Genomic DNA, 25,074 nt, shown 5'->3' with positions numbered 1-25,074 from the left:
GGAAGGATCGCTTGAAGCCAGTAGCGCAAGACCAGCCTGAACAACATAGCAAGACCACCTCTCACCCACCTCCCATCGTCTCTAAAAGAACCTTGTTTTATTTTTATTTATTTATTTTTTATTATACTTTAAGTTCTAGGGTACATGTGCACAACGTGCAGGTTTGTTACATATGTATACATGTGTCATGTTGGTGTGCTGCACCCATTAATTGGTCATTTATATTAGGTATATTTCCTAATGCTATCCCTCCCTCCTCCCCCAACCCCACGACAGGCCCTGGTATGTGATGTTCCCCTTCCTGTGTCCAAGTGTTCTCATTGTTCAATTCCCACCTATGAGTGAGAACATGCGGTGTTTGGTTTTTTGTCCTTGCGATAGTTTGCTGAGAATGATGGTTTCCAGCTTCATCCATGTCCCTACAAAGGATATGAACTCATCATTTTTTATGGCTACATAGTATTCCATGGTGTATATGTGCCATATTTTTTTAATCCAGTCTATCATTGATGGACATTTGGGTTGGTTCCAAGTCTTTGCTATTGTGAATAGTGCCACAATAAACATACGTGTGCATGTGTCTTTACAGCAGCATGATTTCTAATCCTTTGGGTATATACCCAGTAATGGGATGGCTGGGTCAAATGGTATTAATAGATCTAGATCCTTGAGGAATCGCCACACTGTCTTCCACAATGGTTGAATTAGTTTACAGTCCCACCAACAGTGTAAAAGTGTTCCTATTTCTCCACATCCTCTCCGGCACTGTTTCCTGACTTTTTAATGATCGCCATTCTAACTGGTGTGAGATGGTATCTCATTGTGGTTTTGATTTGCATTTCTCTGATGGCCAGTGATGTTGAGCATTTTTTCATGTGTCTGTTGGCTGCATAAATGTCTTCTTTTGAGAAGTGTCTGTTCATATCCTTCACCCACTTTTTGAAGGTGTTGTTTACTTTTTTCTTGTGAATTTGTTTGAGTTCTTTGTAAATTCTGGATATTAGCCCTTTGTCAGATGAGTAGATTGCAAAAATTTTCTCCCATTCTGTAGGTTGCCTGTTCATTCTGATGATAGTTTCTTTTGCTGTGCAGAAGCTCTTTAGTTTAAATAGATCCCATTTGTCAATTTTGGCTTTTGCTGCCATTGCTTTTGGTGTTTTAGACATGAAGTCCTTGCCCATGCCTATGTCCTGAATAGTATTGCCTAGGTTTTCTTCTAGGGTTTTTATTGTTTTAGGTCTAACATTTAAGTCTTTAATGCATCTTGAATTAATTTTTGTATAAGGTGTAAGGAAGGGATCCAGTTTCAGCTTTCTACATATGGCTAGCCAGTTTTCCCAGCACGATTTATTAAATAGGGAATCCTTTCCCCAGTTCTTGTTTTTGTCAAAGATCAGATGGTTGTTTTTCAAAGATCAGATGGTTGTAGATGTGCAGTATTAATTTCTGAGAGCTCTGTTCTGTTCCATTGGTCTATATCTCTGTTTTGGTACCAGTACCATGCTGTTTTGGTTACTGTAGCCTTGTAGTATAGTTTGAAGTCAGATAGCGTGATGCCTCCAGCTTTGTTCTTTTGGCTTAGGGTTGTCTTGGCAATGTGGGCTCTTTTTTGGATCCACATGAACTTTAAAGTAGTTTTTTCCAATTCTGTGAAGAAAGTCATTGGTAGCTTGATGGGGATGGCATTGAATCTATAAATTACCTTGGGCAGTATGGCCAATTTCACGATACTGATTCTTCCTACCCATGAACATGGAACCTTGTTTTAATTAGGTGGGTCTGGTGGTGCACACCTGTAGCCAGCTACTCTTTAGGCTGAGGCAGAAGGATTGCTTGAGTCTAGGAGTGCAAGTCTGATGTGAGGATGTGAGCTATAATCACACCACTGTAGTCCAGTCTGGGCAACAGAGCTAGACTTTGTCTCTAAAAAATAAAAAATAAAAAATGTGTTTTACAAGATCATGTCATTTGCAGGGACATAGATGCAATAGATGCATAGATGGAGCTGGATGCCATTATTCTCAGCAAACTAACACAGGAACATAAAACCAAATACCGCATGTTCTACTTTTAAGTGGGAGCTGAATGATGAGAACATATGGACACATGAGGAGGGGGTAAAACACACACTGAGGCCTGTCAGAGGGTGAGGGGTGGGAAGAGGAAGAGCATCAGGAAGAATAGCTAATAGATACTGGCCTTAATACCTAGGTGATGGGATGATCTGTGCAGCAAGGCACCATGGAACCCATTTAACTATGTAACATACCCACACATCGGCACATGTACCCCTGAACTTCAAATAGAAGTTGGACATTTAAAAAATGTTTTCTAAAATGACATTTTAAAAATAACTATACATAATTTACTTTAGCTTTTATTTTTGAACTATATTAATCCTTAGGAAACAACTTTGGACTAATATTGAAGACAGGATTTTCCATTATTTCCAAGTCAATAATAATACATGGCCTAAATAAATTATACATGTGTTGGTAATATTTAATCAGCAAGGATGCTATTAGTGACCCTTGACTAAAAAGAAATATTGTGGCATTGATTTTTCTTAAAACAGCATGATTCAGTAAGCAGCCTGAAACTGATGAGAACCCTGAGTGGGGTAGGGTGAAACGTATATTTTGCGGGGCAGACATTAATACAAGTTCTCTTGCTCTCTATCTCTCTCTTAGGCTGAGATTGGAGTTGGCAGAGATGCTTAGTAAGCATTAGATAATTCTGTGCGAAAGAATTAAGCCATTCAAAATGTTATCATGCTTTGCTCGTGTTACCTGTATTATTTCCTAATATATTTTTAAATGCCTCATGATTAGGACTCTAAGGATGTGATATATTATTTTTCAACATAGAAACCTATTAACAAGATAGTTTGATCTTTGTTTGGGTTTGAAATTCCTATGAGTGATGTAATGGTCTCGAGTTTATTCCCTCCCCTTTAACCAAATTGTCTCAACCCATTTCACATGGAACACATAAAAATATTTGTATGGCACAAATAAGTAAACTGGAATAAATATGAGGTGTCTGTTTGCAGTTTGGGCAAGAAATATAACTCATTACATTGTCTTGCTATTATACCTGGGTCTTGTCTTGACACTCTAAGAGATGCCTGTTTTGCTGAAGGAAATGGCATTAAGGAGTTCAGATTTTCAAGGCAGCCTCTGTATCTTTCTTTACAATAAAAACATTTCGCTAAATCTAAAAAACAAAAAGAAATAATTTCTTCTAATTAGGATTATCAGCTAAACACATTTATAATGTCTGTAAATGCATCAAACTTCGGTGGAAAGTTACTTCCAATTTAGTAATTAGATTATCTCACTTTGCACATTGTCATTTTATCTACTAAGAGTGTTATTCAAAAATGGCACCTTTTCTATTTACTTTGTCCTTAGTCCCAAGCAGTGCAGGCTAGAAAAATGAGTGATTTGGTAATTGCATGACACATTTTAGCTTTAGCTAATAAAGTTTTGCTGGACTCATTTATAAAGGATTCAGACATTTTCAATTCACTGACATAAAAATGTCAAATTATTTTTCTTGTCTGAGTGTTTTGCTAGAAGATGCCTGCCTGCACAATGCTTTAGCTTCATTGAGTCATTTTTTATTTTCTATATTTCCTTGCAATTAAACATTTTGTCTAAATAAAAGAAACATCTTTGCAAATAAGTACATATGTGAAATAATCCTGATTACATTGCCTAGTAAATGATTTGTACTTTTTTTCTGTACCATGTTTTTGTCTTCTGAATCTGTCTAATTTCCACCTTTTATTCTCTTTTGAAAAGTCTGCATTACCATGGTATCGCAGTCAGGGATAACCGGAGAAAACAGAAGATACTAGTGTTATTTTAGGGGAAAGGGATGGTATACATGGAATACAGTACTTTACAAACTTGCTGGAGGGACTGCAGCCAAGAAACTTGGGGGACCACTTGCACGGTGGGAATGAAGATCACCACTGTAGTTGGTATATACATCCCAAAGTCTCATTTGGTTATAATGGGATTATAATGGGATTATAACCAAATAAGTTATTGATGGGATTTTCAGTTTCCATTTTGGGAAACAGCATGAAGACATTTGTATATGATACTAGTTGTAGTACATTAGGAAACTGGTGCTCTGTCTCTAACGCAACTGGCCCTCATGCCAAGTTGCTGGTGACAAGACACTGACATATGCAGTACAGGGGTCAGCCAACACTGATCTCTACTCTGTTTTTGTAATACCCACAACAGCAGAATAATAACCACTACCTCCTTTTGCCCTTCAAAGTTCATGCAATTACACCTACCTGGCAGAACCTATTCATATCCAGAACTTTCATGTAAACATCCATTTACATCCTACTACAAATACTTATACTTCCAAATACAACAATAACAATAAAAATTTGGTCCAGTCTAACATAATGCACTAAATCATACACAATGTCTTCATTCTCTTCCCAAAAATGGAAATTCAAAATCCCATCAATAACTTATTTGATTATAATCTCATTTTAACTGAATAAGACATTGGGATGTATTCAAGCTTTTCTCATTCAGTTGCAATCCCAATTTGTCATTCTGTAAAATCTTCAAAAAATGTAGAGAACAGGAACAAGAGGAAAAATGGAAATTGGTTACTATACACAAATACATTCAAGGCCAAGAAAGGAAAAAACTATGGGACTCTACAGCCTTTCATTTCTGCAACCATTCACTAAGTTGTGATTCTTTTGTACAACTCTAGCATTCCTTCTGTGCTCCTTTTGTTCCCAATTAGCACTTCAGCTATTTGGGGCTTTCTATATGGTAGGGTGGCCCAACCGTTCATTTCTTAGGGGTCTAATCAATTGAGAGAAACATCATTTTCTCAAAAATGAAATCAATTTAAGTTTAAAAAGTGGCTATAGTCCTTCAGGACTTCCAAAGAATTTTTGATTTGTTTACTCATTTGTTGGCATAGGTTGTCTGCATCCTTATAAATGTTTGAAATTAAATTATATTGAGTTGGACAAATTAAACATGAATTAAGCAGAGTAAAGTATTATTTTTATTGAACTTAATTTCTGAAAATTTACGAATTATAAATATTGCTTACACTTACATGTTTAAGATATTTCAAAAGACCAGTTTTTGTAACTTGCATGGCCTATAGTACCTTAACAAGTTGATTTAGTTAAAGTCTTTAATTTTTATTTATTTTGTAAAATTATAAAACATTTTCAATCCTTAAAAATTATAATCATCAATTTTAAAATTGTATCATAAATGTTAGACTATGGCTAAATTTGAAAACCAAATACAATAAAAAAGTTAAAAAAGGAGAGAGAGAAAAGTTAGTTGGAAAGAAGAAGGTATAACAATTCAGACAATTTATAATAGCAAATATGAGAGCATCTATTGTATAATAATAATAATCAGACATATCTTATATTTAAGAAGAAAAAATAAAATAAGAACCAATTAAATCAAAAGACTGCTCTATAGTTTGCTACTTGCTTGTAAACAGAATTTTCAAATAAAAAGGTAAAGAAACTAATGGGCATTATTCAATAAGAAGACTTAATTGGTGGGATATGGAGTAGCCAGTTCAAAGACGTGTCAGACATAAAAATTGATTGTCTTTGGATTACTACTACAACAAAATTATCTGGCTTCAAACCTGAATAGCTTAAGAATTTAGAGCCAACAGGGTGTTTCTTCACTTGCTGCCAGGAGCTTTCTTGTTTAGCTCAGTGCCAGTTAATCAGGTTGTTTGTTTGTTTATTTTGTTTTTTGTCCCTTCACTCCACTGAACTGATTCCTGTTAATAACTCTATAACCTGGATTAGGCTTTGCGTGTTTGTGGGCCCATCCTCATGAGTTGTATTTGCTGACCCGGAACCTGAGTGTGAGAGAGGGTCAGACTTTGAGCAAAACTGAAGACTTGTGGACCCTGGATCTTGAATATTTACTTCCACGTTTTCCTGGCTTTACGGTCCAGCTCAAAAAGCAACATCTCAGGAATACCCATGAACTTTGTGGATGTAACTGGATTCTGACATAATGCTTTAGGATGAACCAGCAACTCCAATCATAGCTTAAGTTTTGTTCAAAGGAGTGTATGTATGGCCCTTGGAGGGTAACTTGTTCGTATTTTCACATATTCCTCCATAGTGACTTGATATGCACGTATTTCTAGTTTCATCTTTCAAGTCAGGTTATCTAGATACAATTTACATACAGTAAAAGTTACTCTTTATAGCTGTACATTTCTATGAATTTTAGAAAATACATAAAGTGATGTAACCACCACCATAATTAAGACACGTAATATTTCCGTCATCCCCAAAGGTTCCTTTATGTCCCTTTGTAGTCCATTCTCCTAGCAAACTTTGATCAGGTTTCTGTTCTTATAACTTGGCCTTTTCTAAAACATCATATCAATTACATTTTTCAATCAGTAGCTTTTTCTTTCTGATTTTTTTTTTCACTTAACATAGAGTATTTGAAATCCATCCATGGTGTTGCATGTATGAATATTTATTTCTTAAAATTATTTTTTAATATTCCACTGTATGTTGGTACCACAATTTTCTCATCTACTCACCATTCGGTGGACAATTGGTTGTTACCAGGTGGAGGTGATTATGAATAAAGCTGATATAAACACTCTTCATGTGGGCATGTGTTTTCCTTTTCTCTTGGGTAAAACTTCTAAGAGCAGAATTGCTGAGTCTATGATAACAAATAAGGAAACTTCATAAGAAACTGGTACATTGTTTTAGTATGCTGGCTTTAGCATTTTGCATTCCCGCTAAAAATATACCAGAGAATATACTGCCAAATAATAATGAGGATGATAACAATGGGTGCAATAATTGAAATGATAACTATATTGTTGAGAATCTTTTCAGCACCTCCCATGTCACAGGCACTGTGCTAAGCACTCAACATATTTTTAATTTATTGTATTATCAAAAGAATGCATAAGGTAGATGCTAACACTAGAATCTCCATTTTATTTATTTTTATACATTTTATTAATATTTCTTTTTAATTTTTGTGGGTACATAGTAGGTGTGTATAAGTTACATGAGATATTTTGATACCTCTATTGGTATCTCTGATACCTCTATTGGACACCTTTTTATATACCTGTTTGCCACTTATATGTCTTTTTTGATAAATGGCTATTTAGATATTTTGCCCATTTTTTAATCAGATTATTAGATGCTTTCCTATAGAGTTGTTTGAGCTCCTTATAAATTCCTCATATATTCTGGTTATTAATCCCTTATCAGATGAGTAGTTTGCAAATATTTTCTCTCATTCTATGGGTTGTCTTTTCATTTTGTTGCTTGTTTCCTCTGCTGTGCAGAAGCTTTTTAACTTCATATGATCCCATTTGTCCATTTTTGCTTGGTTGCCCGTGATCATGGGGTATTACTCAAGAAATCTTTGCCCAGTCCAATGTCCTGGGGAGTTTCCCCATTGTTTTCTTTTAGTAGTTTCATAGTTTGAAGTGTTAAATTTAAATGTTTAATCCATTTTGATGTGATTTTTGTATGTGGTGAGAGATACCAGTCTAGTTTCATTCTTATGCATACGGAAATCCAGTTTTCCCAACACCACTTATTGAAGAGACTGTCCTGTCCCCGATGTATGTTCTTGGCACCTTTGTCAAAAATGAGTTCACTGTAGATGTATGGAGTTATTTCAGGGTTCTCTATTCTGTTCCACTGGTCTATGTCTGACTTTATGCCAGTGCCAAAGCATCTCCATTTTTAAAATGAGGAAATTGAAACTCAAAAAATGTCCTGGAACTTGCCCATGTTATCTCAACCCACAATTGGTAGAGCTGATATTCAAGCCCAGATAAGCTGGCATTAGAATTGCGTCCCCTAAACACAACGTTCTCCTGCCTCTTCATTTGCTGGTTAAATAGACATTAGAAATAATCCAGAGCTGGCTATTCTAAAGTAAAATAGAGTATTCTAAAATGTACATTTTTAGCGAGGGTGTTGAAAGGCATCTTGAGCAGAACATAAACTGAAAATGTTAGCATCCAAGTACTTGAAAAAATGCCACTAGGATGTGCGTACAATAGTTGTTCATATGTACAAGTTGGTCTTCTGCTTTTACACAATCCCTATTCGAATCAGAGATCTCTATAAACTGATGTGAAGTTTTGATTGAATGTAAAAGATCTAAATTTATAATTAGAAAGAAAAATGACTTGGATCTTGGAAAACAAGTACAGAGCTTGAAAGAGTCAGTCTCCAATACACAAAGTTCTATTTAGTCTGAAGCAGTAATAGAATATGGCCATTTTTGTTTTATAAAACCGGGATAAGGATTTAATTGAATAATTTTAATAGACTTTTTGTTTTTATTTGTGGATTATATAAGACTGATCATAACAATTAACAGACAATAAATAATCTGGTAATTTTATACTGCCCAGAATTACTTGTTTTTTCATTTTCATTATTTCAAAAATGGTTAAGACCTATATTTGACAGTGTACACTAAATCACTTAATTTTTAAAATGTTTTCTCAAGTTACCTTAGATGGTTTTCCTGTCATTTAGTTGAATTCAAAGAAAAAAAACAGTGAAACTAGTTCTGTCAAAGCTTACTGTGAGATAGGCATGATAGAATTACATGAAGAAAGAAGCCAGGCACGGTGGCTTACGCCTGTAATCCCAGAAGTTTGAAAGGCTGAGGCGGGTGGATCACCTGAGGTCAGGAGTTCAAGACCAGCCTGGCCAACATGGTGAAACCCATCCCTACAAAAATACAAAAATTAGCCAGACATGATGGTGGGTGCCTGTAATCCCAGCTAATTGGGAGGCTGAGGTGGGGAATGGCTTTAACCTGGGAGGCGGACATTGCAGTGAGCTGAGATCACACCAGTGTGCTCCAGCCTGGGCGACAGAGCAAGACTCCATCTCAAACAAACAAACAAACAACAACAACAACAAAATTATATATGAAGAAAGGAAGTAAGAGAAGAGAAATAAGTAATAGTAATGTCAGTTTCTAAGGGACCTGGACTTGCGTATATTATGTATATTATTTGTGTTACATCGTGATGTACAAAAAGACATCTATTGAATCTTTTCTCCTCTCATAGTTTAATGTTTTTATCAGGTGTTGATGCAATGATATTTTATCCTTATTGCTTTCAAATAAAAATAGTGAATTTTTCGAATTGTGCTTATGTAACACACGTGTATCTAGACGGAATTACAGCAAATGTGGCAGGTACATACCTCTTCAGTTCCTTCTGGATACTAAAAAAATGCAAGCAGGTAGGAGCTACTCTGCCCAGATTTTTGTAAAAATTTCTTAATCAATTTTAAATCTATGTGAAAAATTTAAAAATTATTTGAGAACAGCTGAAGCCACAATGTGGAATGAGAACAGATATATACAGTTATCAGAAGTGCAAAACAATGCAACCAATAACAAGTGAGAGCGTGTGAAATCCAGGTTTGTGTTTCTAATTTCCTCTCTATTCCAATTTGTAGCTAGGGAAATGGTCACTCGGTTTTCTGTCTGGTCTGCATCACCTGAATTTTACATTTTTTTGAGTATGTGTGTATTTCTGTGTGTGTGTGTGTGTGTGTATGTGTGTGTGTGTTCCATTCTGCTCTCATTGTATGTTTTCCTTAGTCATGGTCTTTGCTCCTTCAACAGATTCTTAATCTTTGTTTTATGTAGACTTCATCTACATACAATTTGACATTTGCCTTGGGTTTTTTGTGTCTACTAATTCAGTGCTAGCCAAAGAAATCTGGAACCTCTGGGCAGCCACTTGTCTTTTCATCTGCTTTCTGGCTTATACTGTTGTGATTGAAGTGGAAAATAAAAAGACCTTCTAAATCCAGTAGAAACCTGACCTATCATAGCATTTCCAAAATCTGTTCTCAGGATTCAGAAGATCAGAGAGGTCTAAGCATTTTGTTCTTATTGTCACCTGAACTACGGTTATTTTTAAAATAGTTTTCTAGCTTCTTAAATAGACCAATTGAAATAAATTGCCGTTCAATTGGTTACTGCGCCATCAAGGAAGCGTGGTCCGTTTCTAACAAGTTTCTGTCCATGACCTTTTCCTCCATGTAATTCTGTATAAATGTGCATCTTAATAAATGAATAAAATGTGAGGGGCATATAATGGAAATAGAAAAAAAATAGTCATATGCATTTATTGAAGATGGAGAAATCACATGCAGGCCACCCCTCTAGAATTGTAAGGAATGTTGACGAGTGAGTCAGATGGAACCTAGCTCTAGAATCCCAGGCAGTTCTAGGCATGAAGGAGCATGTCGCTATCAGCTGATGTCCTCAAATTCTACTGTTCTCAGCCTCAGGGTTTAGGTTTTCTGCGTTTTTTACTTCCTTCTAGCATGACTTCATTCTCCTACAGAATTCCTCTTTACCTGATTTCAGTCTCTATTCTTGTGTTCTCTGCCTCATTCTGTTTATATTTTTGATTCATATTTTTAAGAGTTAATATCTAACTGGCCCAACGTATCTTCACAAAACAGAAAATTGGGCAACCTATGGAATGGGATCCCCTAGATCAAGTTCCCACATCCAGAGAAGGTTACATTCTATAATACATTGCTTCTTAATATTACTCCTTTTTCAGGGGCTATGGTCTTGGGGAGCACCATATTTGGGATGTTTTGTCCATCTTCATGAAAAAGTAAGAGAAGAATGACAGTGTAAGCTCCATGAGAAACGGAGCTTTGTCTCTTTGTAACATATTATTATGTTTACTGTTCTAAGAACAGTGCCTGGCATATTGTGAGCCTTTGAATGTTTATTGAATATGAATACATGAAGAAACAAATGACTAATAGGTCATTTTCATTCACTTGAGGAGTATATGATATATATATATATGATATGATATTTTCATTCACTTGAGGAGTATACAATAACTTCTGAATGTTATGTGTGCAAGAGATTCAACCTGGTCCAGGTCATATTCAGTGTGAAACAGTCTCAAATGTTTGATTATGTGTAGAGCTAGTGAATAACTTTGTGCATGGTTAATTTGAGGGAAATCCCCTGAATAATCTAGATCAGAGCTGAGTGCCTCAGTCACCTTTTCCCAGGTCAAGTAAATCTTATTTTTCTACAATTAAAAATGTAGATTTAACTTAGTTGCTTAGAGTATAAGTAAATAATTGTAATTCAGGCACCGTATCTTTACCCGCATGCAGCCATCTAGCTACGAGAAATGTTGCTTTAGCAACATCTTTAAAAGAAGAAACTACAAGAGTAAATATGATGTCTAAGACATCATATATTTATAGAAACAAATCCTTCTAAATCCATGCATTTAGAAGGTCCAGGTGGTACCTTCAGCAATAAAGAGGGGCAGTCTTATGAACATAACTGTATGTTAATATGGGCAGATGGGAGAATTATGAAAAAAAAGTATGTGCTTCTCATCTCCTCCATCTGAATCCCTATCTCACTCCTTTTCAGTCCTACCCGCAGTTCTACTCACCAGAGGTTTCCTTGTACATATACCTGTGAATCTCTAGTGGATTTCCGCAAAAACTACACTTTATATTTGTCGTCAGTAATGCTGAATACTGAATCTTTTGGTGGCCTGCTGTTAGAAAAACTAATAAAAATAGTACTGGTATGCTGACTTACAGTTATAAATCATAAGCCCATGTATCAAGTCAATTGAGCCAAAAAAAATGTGATGAGTCACGCATTCTCAATCTGTACATTTCACAGGTGAGAACATAGAGGCTCAGCTCAGAGGACTGACCTGCCAATAGATAAATATGGACCTATTTATTTATGTAAGTGGCATTATCAGGATCGGAATGCAGGCCTATAACACCATAAAGCTGTCGCTTGAGATTTCACACTTCATGAAAGTGTAATAACAATTTAACATGTCATTACTTCCTATGAATATTTACAGTTTGAAGTGAAAGTGAAGATTGTCAATGCATAACTCAAAGTTTCCTTAGCAGTAAGAAATAAAATATTTTGATAGCTCTTTAGATCCTTCATTTCTGAGGAGGGTTGGCTTTCTATTCACTACAGGTGAGGTTGACTCACCCCCATTTTAATCTCATCTATTTTCAGACTACCTCTTGGTCTATGAATGGTGAAACCAGACTGCTAACATTTTTTTATATACTCTCAGGTTTGTTACATAATTGAATCTATGTTTATAGTTGCTGTCTTTTTAACATGGTAGTTTAATTCTGTTTGATTTTGAGTATCCCATTATAATCCATGTTTATTTCAGGATATATCAGACGTTTGAGCAGAGTAAATAATTCTCTCCAGCACAACCAGGTGGTTTTTTCTATACAGTAGTGGAAATATACTAAATAAGGTTGTATCAAAAGATGGGTTGCACTGCAGAGATAATATGAATTGAGTTCAAGACAGTGCAATCAAATGAGAAGGAGATGGAAGAATTCTGTGTGAGTGGGAGGTGAGTACCACAGAAATAAAAATGAGCAAAGATAAAGTACTCTTGATTCTACTTTTATATTGCACTACCACATCTTTGCTTTTGCTCTGTACAAGAATGTGCAAATGGATCATAACAGTTTGAGAACTTAGGTATGACATCTGTTAAAACTCAAGTAAATTGCAATTCCAGCATAGGAATGCATTTGGAATTAAACAAAGCCCTCATTTCTCATAAGACCATTCTTATTTCCAAACTCATTAGAAAAAAAATCTCTATTTCCTTTTTGCTATTCTCTACCCTTTCTCATTCTTATTTTCTGTAGTAAAAGATTAAGTGGTACACTCAGGGATCCTCAGAAAGATGGTTTAACTAATTAGTACATCAACGAAGTCTTTAGGACAGAGTTTTAATAAATGTTTGTCAATTTCCCTTTGCAATGTTACGTAGTATATTACTAACAGCATTCGCAGAAGGTGCACAGGATGTATGGTCTGAAATCTAGGGTTAGTAAGAAGGAATCATAGAAGATGATGCCAGGCAGGTGGCAAGGAGCTGACACATTGGACAAAGTTATATTAAAGTGCTTAACTTAGTTGCACTAGGTTAATCAAAATATTATTTATTTCACTTGTACGTATTTACAATATATAATGATACATAAAATATATAATATGATACAAAATATATAATATAATATATAATACATAAGATATGTATTGTATATAATACATAAAATATGTATTGTATATAATATGCATAAAATATATAATCAAAAATATTTTTATATATAATACATTAAAATATATATTTTTATATATAAAATATACATTTTAACTCATTGGTCACAATTAATGCCACACAACTATCCCTGAATAAATCAGAGTTGCAGAGTGGATATAAAAATGTACAGTGGTTAATCACTTGGACTCGGGAACAAATAAATATGGCCCTGAATCCTAGTTTCATAGCTATGTGGTTTTGTGCAAAATATTTAGTTTCACTGAGTCTTGGTTTCCTTTTCTGTAAAAGATAAATAATTAAAAATGCAGCAACAGCAACAACAACAACATTAGTCACTAACATTTTATTTATTTTATTAGAGCTTGCTTTACCGTCAGCAATATTTTAATGTATCTATTTGCATTCCTGCATTTAATATTGTCAATTACCCAACAAATCAGATAGTATTGTTACCCTCATTTCACAGAGCAGGAAACTAAGGCAAAAAGAAGCTAAGACACAGAGCTGAGCTTGTATGTATTTGAGCTAAGTAGTCCTATTGCAGAAAACAGACTGCTGCTATGATTTGGGTTGGAAAGTCCATTGTTGCTTTGCTCATATCTGGCACCTGGTGCTGTCAGCTCCTGTGCCTGGGTTCTTCCCCACACGGCCTCTCACCCTGCACTAGTATATGACAGATTCCTTTTGTGGCAGTCTCCGGGCAGATTTCCACTGGAGCAAAAGCAGATGCTGTAAGGTCTCTCTTTTTTTTTTTTAACTTTCATTTTAGAATGAGGGTACATGTGCAGGTTTGTTGTATAGATAAGTTGTGTGTCATGGGGGTTTATTATACAGATTATTTTATTACACAGCTAGGAAGCATAGTACCCAATAGGTAATTTTTTAATTCTCATCCTTCTCCCACCCTCCAACCTCAATTAGGTCCCAGTGTTTACTGTTCCCTTCTTTGTGTCCATATGTACTCAGTGTAAAGCTCTCACTTGTAAGTGAGAACATGCTGTATTTCATTTTCTATTTCTGCATGACTTTTCTAAGGACAATAGCTTCCAGATCCATCCATGTTGTTGCAAAGGACATTCTCTATTTCTTTTTTATGGCTACATAGTATTCCATGGTGTATATGTACATTTTGTTTATCCAGCCTACCAATGATGGACGTTTAGGTTGATTTCATTTCTTTGCTCTTGTGAATAGTGCTGTGATTAATATAAGCATGCATGTGTCTTTATGGTAGAACAATTTGTATTCTTTTGGATCTATACTCAGTGATGAGATTTCTGGGTCAAATGGTAACTGTTTTAAGTTCTTTGAGAAATTGTCCACTGCTTTCCACAGTGGCTGAACTTATTTACATTCTCATCACTAAGCATTCCCTTTTCTCTGCAAGCTCACCAGCATCTGTTATTTTTTAATTTTTAATGGGTTCTTTTAAGATCCAACCTCAAGGGTCAGGTGCATTGCTTTCACTGCATTCTATTGGTCAAAACAAATAATAAAGCTAACTCAGATTCAAGTAGTGCTGAAAGAGACTCTACGTCTTCATGGGAGAATCGCCAAAGTCACACACAAATGGACATTTGGGATGACAGGAACTTTTGCAGTCATCTTTGCAAACATTACCTTAAACCTTTCACCAGGATATGCTATCCTTATCAATGGCCACACTCACGGTCCTAGAAAATAACGCTGATGAAATTCAAATATCACAAAAGCCACATTTATTAATGAAACACTAAATTTGATATGGAAGACTTTGTATTCGTTGGTAAGAAATGTATTGGAGGAAGGTTTTACTAACATGGATGCAAGATTCTCTAGTTCACTCTCATTTAACCAGAAAATTAAATTGAATAAAGCATTCTTTTTTCACAAATACTGGTTATTTAATATTCCTCTGTATATAAATGTTTTAATTTTTCCTGTCAATGATAAAATTAGGTATTTGACTTTTACTGTTCTAAAAATGCAGAATCTCATGAATTCTGAAACACCTGTTCAGGTAGGAATATAATGATACTCATAGAATGGATTAAATAAAATTATATGTGAGACAAAGTAGCACTTTCTAGCATCACAGTTATTTCTATTTAAGTTCTAGCAAAAGACTTCATTTTCTGTTAATGCCATCAGGTTTTCCAACAGCTTATTAGAGAGCCAGAAGTAAATTTCATAGATTAGAAATAAAATTCCTAGGGACATTGTATATCGTATGTATACCTTATGTATACATACCTTATGTACGTATTTTTACCTTATGAAATGATGTTAAGGTCAGATTCCAAATGTTAGTCTTCAAAGAGTTAGTTTTCCTTAAAATTACTCTATTTAATAAAAATCCAAATCAGTAATATTCAAACCCAAAGGCTAGATATACTTTCCTTATGGCTTATGTTTTATGTCTAGGGTTTGTTAATGAGACTCCTATGTATCAAATATCTGCAGTCTCCTTTTCAAATTACTTTTTGAGGGAAGTGGCAGGATGAACATCAATTCCTGTCATCAGAGGGCCCAAACCCTCTCATAGCATCTTTCTGTAGTAAATTAGACTTAGAATTCAAAATAAGGCTTTTTCACATTAAGGAGAATTCTGCATGCAGGAAGAACGGGGAGCGATCCTGAGAGTGGTTTTCACCAGTCACAAGCTGAGCTATCACCACCCTTTAGTTTCTCAACATGTCAAACGTGTAGCTTTTCTTTTACACAGACACAACCCACGGCTCTGCTTAAAAAACTGACTCATCACTTTCTGGAGGCTGGACTATGTCATACTCAAGGGAGGGACACTTGTGATATTCCAGCTGGAGTGACTCCAGTGTATAAGAGGGGCTAATTAAATACATGACCAAGGGATCATCTTCTTTGTCTAATTAAGCATTAAACACCTATCAATTTGCTGATACTGTACTGTTCTTTCCATTTATTACAGTGGCTGGTTTCTCCCTCTCTCTCAAACTTGCTCAAAACTTGTACCATTTTCCCATTGCTCTTAGACTCAACTCCATACTCCTCAAATCACTATCCTGCAATATGTAAAACTAACTTATCTTTCACTACGGATTTCTCTACAAATACTGTCTGATCCAGCCACACATGGCCCTCTGGACACAGCCTTGCAAATGCACGTGTAGGTCTTTTTCCTGATCTTTTCACTCCTGGACTGAAGATCGTAACACTAGTCATCATTCATCCTTGACAAATGGGGACTTTGAGTTCCACTTGAATCAGAACTTCTCACACACCTCTGATCTAATACATCCCCCAAGCCCTCTTAGAATTAAGTATTTATTTAATTTTTTAGAATCTGATTTATTTGTATTTTATTTATCTTCTAAGTTTTCTTGCTATCTGGTCAGCATGATCATGAATTTGTGGGCATGGTTATGTCTAATATCTGTTTAGCACTCAACACAGTGTTCCAATTCATCTATCCGTCTATGTATGTATCTATCTTTCTCTTGTATAGTTACTAAAAGGATTTTGTGCCTGCTAGTAGCCTGTTTTACACCGTGGTGCCCAATTTAAATAAACAGTGTTAATGTTATTTGCATAAAACAGTTTGCTTTATTTTTGCTTGTTAATTTATTCATGCAATTAAATAATTATTAGACTATATAAAAATAGCTGTTCTACTGAATGGTGGAAAGAGTGGAGGAAATCATGGCTGAAGATTTTTTCATTGATCATGGCATTAGGGACACAATAAATTCATTTTTACAAAATTATTTTCAGGCCACATATATCTTTATACATCACATCTGCTGAATCCAATTTGGGAGATAGAAAAGTAATTGCAATTGAGATTTGAGTTCTTGTTCATCTCTAATGTGCTATAATACTATTGATTACACTAATATGATACCAAAATAACAATCAATGGAAGACTTCTAAGGAGTGGGAAATTCTGTTTCATAAGCCATAGAAAGAAACACACCAGTGCCAGTGCAGGTACCAGAGATAAATACAGAGCTTCTTAGAGAAAGTAAAAATGGTAAAAACACAAGAAAACACATTTCATAGTGTTTATTCCACCATGCTGATGTTCATTCTAGGTGAATATCATATCAATGAATCACTTGTATATTGCTTGAGGTTCTACAATGTGTCCAGTGCTGTGCTAGGGGCTTCATAGGGCTATCTATCTTATGAAGAGGCCATTTTGTGTGAGATAGTGATGGTGTTTTTGTAATAATCTGGTCGTGATACATTCTAAAACCAGAACTATAACTTAAACACGCATAGCCACCTGGCTGGAGTAGAAGATCAGGAAATATTAGGAACTGTGTGACCTGGGAGCTAAATGTCTCACTTAAAAACACACAAAAATACTTCTCTAATCCAACAAAACTAATCTATAGGATTGATTAGAATGCAATTGTGCAAATTGGTGTCCCCCATAATAATACATTTTCACTTGACCTCACTGATGTAAAAGAGATTCGACAGTGATGTTGATTAAAGTTATAATTGCAGTCATGGCCTCCAGCTAATGCGGAAATTATAACCATGGTTTTGGAAGTAGTTGGGATGAAAAGAGAGTAAGTAGTTACTTGTGATCCAGACTATAGCAGTTATCTATTGCTGTGTAATAAATTACCCCCAAAGTTCAGCAGCTTTAAACAACAAATATCTATTATCTCATATAGTTTTAGAGGATCAGGAATCTAGAAGTAGCTTAGCTGAGAGGTTCTGGCTCAGGGTCTTTCATTAAAGTTATGGTCAAGCTGTAAGCCAGGTCTGTAGTCATTTTAGTCCATCAACTCACTCACATGATTGTTAGCAAACATCAGTTCCCTTCTGGTTAGTGGACTAACCCTCAGTTTCTTGCTATGTGAGCCTCTCCACAGGCTGCAACAGATTTCTCACAATATGGTGGCTGGCTTCCCCAGGGTGAATGATCAAAAAGAGAATGAGAGCAGAAAGAAAACCCCAATGTCTTTTACAATCTAGACTTAGAATCACAGCATCATTTCCACCCCCTTCTCAATAGAATCTCAGTCCACAATCAAGAGGATGGAAATTAAGATCCACTTCTTGAAGGAGGGAGTACCAACATATTTGTGGAAATATTTTGAAACCATCATGCGAGTTCTGCTAATTTTTTTACCTAGGTATTTAATGTTGGAAAAGTATTTTATCCTCTCAAACGTCAGAGTTTGTTTGTTATTGTTACTTTTTTAACTGAGAAATTATGAATGATCAGCCTAACTTCACAAAACTGATTTCAGGATTAATGGAGGCAATGTTTGTGTAAGCCACTTGCAGAGTGCCATAGGAATAAATGTATCCTTTTAACATCTGTGGTTATGCTCAGAATATTATATTCCAGACAAGTACATTATCCTACAAAATATGGCATGGAGATGCCTCGCCTCAAGAAGTAACAACTAGTGGTACACATGGATGAGCATTACTGTCTATAAATAATAGCTATGGTTGCATCTTTTCCAACCAAAGCAACACCAAGTTTATCAATTTTACCCCTTTCTTTTGTTTTCTTTTTTTTCTTTCTTTCTTTCGGTTTTTTTTTTTTTTAAGAGTTTCACTCTCTCACCCAGGCTGGAGTGCAGTGGCATGATCATGGCTCACTGCACCTTGACCTCCTAGGGCTCAAACAATCGTCCCACATCAGCCTCCCTAGAGGTGTGTGCCCTCACACCTGGCTAATTTTTTGTTGTTGTTGTTTCTTTTTTTTTTTTTAGAGATGGGGTTTTACTATGTTGCCCAGGCTGGTTTTGAACTCCTAGTCTCAAGCTATCCTCTTGCCTCAGCCTCAAAGTGCCAGGATTACAGGCATGCGACATAGCACCCTGCCCAATTTTACCTCTTTCGTATCTATACTTCTTTCTATCTCCACTACAACTCGAAGCCATTTATCATCTCTTGCCTGGACTGCTGCAATAGCCCTTAACTAGTTTTCTAGTTAACAACTCTTACTTCTGTAAATGCATTTACCATTTTGTAGCCATCGTGGTTCTATTTAATTCAAATATTCCTTATATGAGAATGCAGACAAATAGGCTGATTCTTACTAGATTTGAAGTGTTATTTTTTTTATGTTGGTATATATTTGTTTTCTTTCTGACCCAACACTCATCATTCCTTCTCTATCTAATCTGAAGTGATAGTGACATTTTTTAGTTATTTACCAATGACAGGAACATTAAGTTCTTTTCATCCTTGATCTCCAAATTTGCTTAAATATTTCTACCTCGAGATAAATGTTTATCCCAGAAACCTAGCTGCAACCTTGAAACCCGTTGTTACCCACTTTCTATGTGTAATTCACCAACCAACATCATTGTTCTGCCTCCAGAAAATGTTTCTAATCTATTCATTTTCCATTTCCTTTTATTTCTATCATTGCCAGTATACATTTTTTCACCTAAATAATCAGATGGTCTTCTAACTGGTCTTCCTGCTTCCACTTTGACACTTTCTAACTTATTCTCTCTATTGAAAGAAGAGTAACCTTTTAATGCAAAAATCTGCTTCTTCTTAAAACCACAGAATGAAGTTCAGAATTGTTAACATACTTTCCAGGGCCTGAACTGAAAAGGTCTCTACCCATATTTCTCGCTATTCTTTCATCCTAATATGTGACAAGCTCTTTTATGCCTGAGGAATTTTTGTGTAAGCTTCCTGTCTGACTACACCCATTTTCTGCTTGTCTCGTTTTTGCCCCACATGTACTTATTTATTCTTCATTTCTCTGCTTACGCATCACTTTCTCAAAGAACCTTTAAATTAAGTCCCATGGTTATAATGTCTGGAAATCTTCTCTTTAACTTTATTACAGATGCAATTTAAAAGTATGTGTTTAAAAGTAAGATATTATTATACAGCGTCCATTTCTACTCACTAGAATATCAGCTCTATGAAGGCAGGAACTTCATCTATTGTTTCACTGCAATTCCTTGCAGTTGTTCTACAAAATACGGTGTAAAGATGCACATGTTAGGTGCTCAGAAAATATTTGTTGAATGAATGAATGGCAGAAGGCTTTCGACTACTCACATTAACTTCCGTGAGTCAGGATGTATTTATATGGTTAGTGACATGATGGTACTGATCAGTTTCACTTAGGAAGAATGAGATTGCTCAACTCCATGGACTCAGACCAGAGTGAGTTTGCACAGCCAAGTGGGACAACTGCTTGGAACAAGAAGGAAGAGAGAGTGCAGACATGCAGTTTGCCTGCTTAATGTTTTAAGTTGAAATAGCTCTGGACATGTGCAATTTAGGATGTGACTGCCAAACAACTGGCTTTGAACCAATTCATAATTTTAGATCAGACTACACCCATCTGCTGATAATCTTCAGTACTTTATGTTAAAAAATTGCAGATTTGAAAGCTAGTCTTTGAATGTGTTTCTAGATCCAGTTTCCCATATTTATAATGGCTCTCTCTTTATGATCTCTCAATACTTATGACCTAAAATTAATACTGAATATAAGCTTTGAGCTTTTACTAGTGTACCATGGATTATAGCAGACTAAAGTGTTGCTTTTATTTGATGATTATGATTATCTCAAATTAAAAAGGAATAAATGTAATGAGGTTTCTTTATTTATCTATAACATCTTCTAATACTAATTACCAAGGAAAACAAAGGACAACATATGAATAAATATATACTACCCAGAGGATGAAAGAATAACCAGGATAACCTGGTTGTTTTAGAGAGTCATATTTTAATGTTAAAATGTATCAACTCAAATTAATATCCATAACAGTAAAATTTACCACAGTTCAACAAACTTTTGACAATTTTCTTTCATGTACAGCAATCATAACTGAATTTAGGAATATAAAGAAAATATAATAAAGCAAAGCCCACAATGAGCTGTATACCTACTGTTGAAGACACACGCACACATACACACACAGAGAAAGAGAAAGAGAAAGAGAAAGAGGAGGGAGAGAGAGAGAGAGAGAAAGAGAGAGAGAGAGAGACTGTTAATATAATGTGTGAAGTTCTCTACTTCCAGGTGAATAAGTCCTAAGAAAAGTTAATGATAACTCCTGGGAAACTCTGAGAAGATAAACCTCTCTTCAGCTATTATACATTATTAGGAGTATATAAAGTAGAAATGGGAAAAAGGTATTTCGAGGAGAAAGTAAATAAAAAGGTCGACAGACTGGAAGTTCATGCTTTTTTGGAAAATGGAAAGTTTCTTGGTATGATTAGGTTTTATGGCTCCTAGAAGGAATGAAGAAAAATAAAAAGCCTTCCCTGATGCCCTTGGGGAGTCAGATATTTTCTCCTCTGTGATTTCATAAAAACAGTATATGGATTTTCATTGAATTTATCCTGGCAGATAAAAAATTCTTTATACATGTCTCTCCCACTAAGTTCCCTTTATGGATCTTTGTCATTAATAAAATTTCAGATATAAGCATTTAAGCATATTTTTAATTAAAAATTTGGCAAAATACAAGTTGGAAACAGATTCAGAATAGTCTGCCTTTTATGCCTAGTTAAGAAGTTTGAAATTATGTCCTTTTTTGCTTTAAAAATTAGGAGATTTCTCATAATAATTGCAATTTCTAGCTTCTCCTTGAAATCGAAACATCTAGCAATCCTGAATCTGTAACCCATATGGTAACATTCAACTGAAGTCTACCGGCAGCTGCCACCATTCACAGAGCTTTCTCCACACCTGACCACAATCTCCTCCTATCCCTCTTGCCTTATACCCAGCCTATTTCACTCATTTATGTTACCTGTTTGGCTCTTGAGCTTACTCTTTTCACAGAACTTTTCTCTGCACCTGGCCACAATCTCCTCCTATCCCTCTTGCCTTATACCCAGCTTGTTTTAATCATTTATTCTACCTATTTGGTTCTTGACCTTACTTTATTTTCACTCTGCTGCAGAACAGGGAGCTAACAGTAAATAGCCCATTATCAGTTACATGTTTTTTAAATATATTTTGGCAGCCATGTGAGCTCTTTAAGTGTAGAAATAGCTCAGGTTGTAGAATATTATGTGTTTAGTAATGTCTGAAAATAACTTTATGTGCTTGTTAAAAGAAATATATATATATTATTGTTCTATAATGTTCTTGGAAGCATAACAATATTTTATTAAAAAATTAATAAATTTGGTCCCAAACAGAAGGTAAACTAATGTTGTTCTAGTATAGTTCCAATATAATCAATACAATATTTCCATTTGCCCATGGGAAGTAGACTTCATTGTAAAGCAGATAATTCTTATTTACTAAAAAAAAAAAAAAAAAAAAAAAAAAAAAAAAAAATCAGCTCATGAGGCAATAAAATCATTCTCCAGAAAACAGGAGAGATGGAATATACCAACATGTATTTACAAGGCAAATCAGTGTTTATGATGCATTGCAGATGATCCTTGAATGTGCAATGTACATTACATTTTGCCGGCTTCATGAATTTGGAATATTTTTGGCATACTGTCTTTATACAGTATTCTCTGAATACAGAAATCCCACAGTACAAGCTAAGTAAGAAAGATGATTGTTTACCACCCCCTTTTCCAGAGGCATTTTTATCATGTCTTAGCAGCAGATATTTATACATCTAATCCTTTCTCCAAGATGTCAGAGCTCTGTGAACAAGTGGGATTTTTTTCTTTCCTTAACAACCACCTCTGTTTGAAATGAAGTGAGGTGTGTTTGCAGTGCCAAAATTAAATATTCAATTTTGTCAAGTACTATAATCTGTGCTACAGAATGGATAGATGGGAAAATGCTGAAATCACAGCTTTTCCTTATTATCATGTTATGAGAAATGTTGACAAACATATGGAAGAAGTGAGAGATGGCAGGAGCAGGTTAGGAACTAGTAGCTGCAGAAAGACCAGAGAAAACTGTCAGCTTATCTCTCCTGGCATTTGTGCTTATGTACCAAGGAAGCTATTACATCTCTTCTAATTTTTTTAACCTTGCCTGATAATTCAAATAGAAGCCTTGTTGAGAATATACCTGCTTTTTAAAAATTTATGGGAAAAACAGCATCTTTGCATTTCTGCTGAATAAAATGACAGGATTGGCTCCAGGTTTCCATTCCCAGTAAGAGCCTTCAGGTTCGTCTGTGACAGAACTCTCAATAGAGGTTATTTTTACCTGGCATGGCTGTGCTGTTACTGATGCTGCTGCTCTCGATGGCTGAGATAACTTCTCCTGTGGGTGTCTCGGACAGAACGAAAGCTGGGTCAAGGTGGAAAGGTGAAAAGAATCGTGAGTAACCAGGGTTTTCAATTCTTGGTGCATTTCTGTTTTTTCTTCATTATATTTAGGAATGCATCAGGGTCTGCGTAGCTTTGCAGTTCTTAGCATTTCCGAGAGGTTGCTTTAGAACTTAAAAATAATTTTTCACATTAAATGTGCATGCAAAATAAATGGGCTCCACATTCCGTAAGCTCCACACATCTGCAATATTGTTCTAGATGTTATTGCAAGAGTTTTGTTTGGCTTTTTCTAGTTAACTCTTAGAATTCCTGGGACTTGCAAAGACTTTGAGCAGATAGATCCAAAGGCCATGTGTGTAATTTAACATGAAGTTCAAATATGTTGCTAAAATTTGTTGATATTCAAATGCTAGATATGTAATAAAATTCCTTGCATCTTAGCACTTTGTCCTGAGGGTAACAAGAAAATACAATGAGAAACAGCAAATATTACAGAGACTCTGATTAGAATAACTTAAAAGCTGATACTTTACAATTGGTGGTTGATAAATATATTACTGTCTAGAGTCACTAACTTGTTTATTCACTTTGTATGGAAATGCAATACCTCCACAATTTGATCATTAAATATGTCTGTGTATTTAAGAAATGTCAAAAACCACTATTTTAGTCTTTAGGACTGAATATGTCTCATGTGTTACAGGACAGGATTATGAATTTGTTGTTTGCCTGCCTCTGAACTAACTGGCAAGAATAGTCAATGTCTTTTCTACAGTTTATCACCCTATAGGTCATCACAGGTGGAAATGTGCGTGCGTGTGTAAAGCTTAGAACTTTAAAAGTAGAACTTTAGAAGTCCTATGTCTATCTATATTTATCTTCAAAAAGAGACATAGAAATGGACGTAGGAATCAGTTTGGAGAGAGGAAATGCTGCTTTTAAAATGTTGCTGAATGTTCAGAAAAGGCATGCCAATAAACTTATTTTACTGGAAATTCCTCCAGTAAAAGAAGAAGATTCAAAGTAGGCTTGAAGCTAATTGCTAATCTTATGACTTTTGTTTTAATCATACTTTGGCCTATTTACTGTTCTGCTTTACTGATTTGAGTGGAAGTTGGAAAGCTGTGGTGGAGAGATCAATGGGGACTGCAAGCAGCACAAGCTGGAACAATCAGAGATTTCACTTGCTCTGCTGCCAACCGAATTTCCCAGTACCAAATTATTACTGGACCTTTATCCCTCTTTTGCGTCTCTTCTTCTTTCCTTTCTTTCCCTTCTTTCTCTCCTTTCTTTTTCTTTCTTTCTTTCCCTCCCTCTCTCCACCCCTTCCTTCCTTCCTTCCTTCCTTCCTTTCTTTTCTTTCTTTCTTCTTCCTCTTTCTCCTTTAATCTCTTGTTTTCTCCTTATGATTCAGAAAAGGCATGTCTATAGGTCTGATACTTACACCATTCTGAAATAATAAATGATTGGTCTTACTGACCGTATTTTCCCTGGACATACAGGTTGCCTCAATGTTTTGTTTTTTTCATTTGTTTTATTTTTGTTTTTATTTTTACCATAAAGTCCAAACCTTTGTCCCCCTTGGAAAGTCCTGAAGAAGGAATTCATTACCTTCCAAAGTCCAATATTGATTAGATTTATCCCACACATTGTGCTTGAATCTAATCACTATAGTACATAAAATTTATTATAACTTTTTGCTTGTTTTGCC

At 35.3% G+C, this 25,074-nt stretch overlaps 1 protein-coding gene and 1 long non-coding RNA gene across 11 annotated transcripts in view; one reads left to right on the top strand and one right to left on the bottom strand.

Moving 5' to 3' along the window:
* The window catches only part of ROBO1 (roundabout guidance receptor 1), a 1,170,760-nt gene that overhangs the window by 332,666 nt on the left and 813,020 nt on the right, over positions 1-25,074 (top strand). The gene's annotated exons all lie outside the window — the stretch shown is intronic.
* LOC101927374 (uncharacterized) lies at positions 106-23,606 on the bottom strand. The gene is made up of 3 exons (NR_110133.1): positions 23,299-23,606; positions 6,598-6,725; positions 106-1,923 (listed from the first exon to the last, which is right to left on the bottom strand). It is a non-coding gene; the product is annotated as an uncharacterized LOC101927374 (long non-coding RNA).

Source organism: Homo sapiens, chromosome 3 (genome assembly GCF_000001405.40).
Source record: "Homo sapiens chromosome 3, GRCh38.p14 Primary Assembly".
NCBI classification, from domain to species: Eukaryota; Metazoa; Chordata; class Mammalia; order Primates; family Hominidae; genus Homo; species Homo sapiens.
Note: the sequence above shows the minus strand (reverse complement) of the source record. Positions and strands in the feature narration are given on the sequence as shown.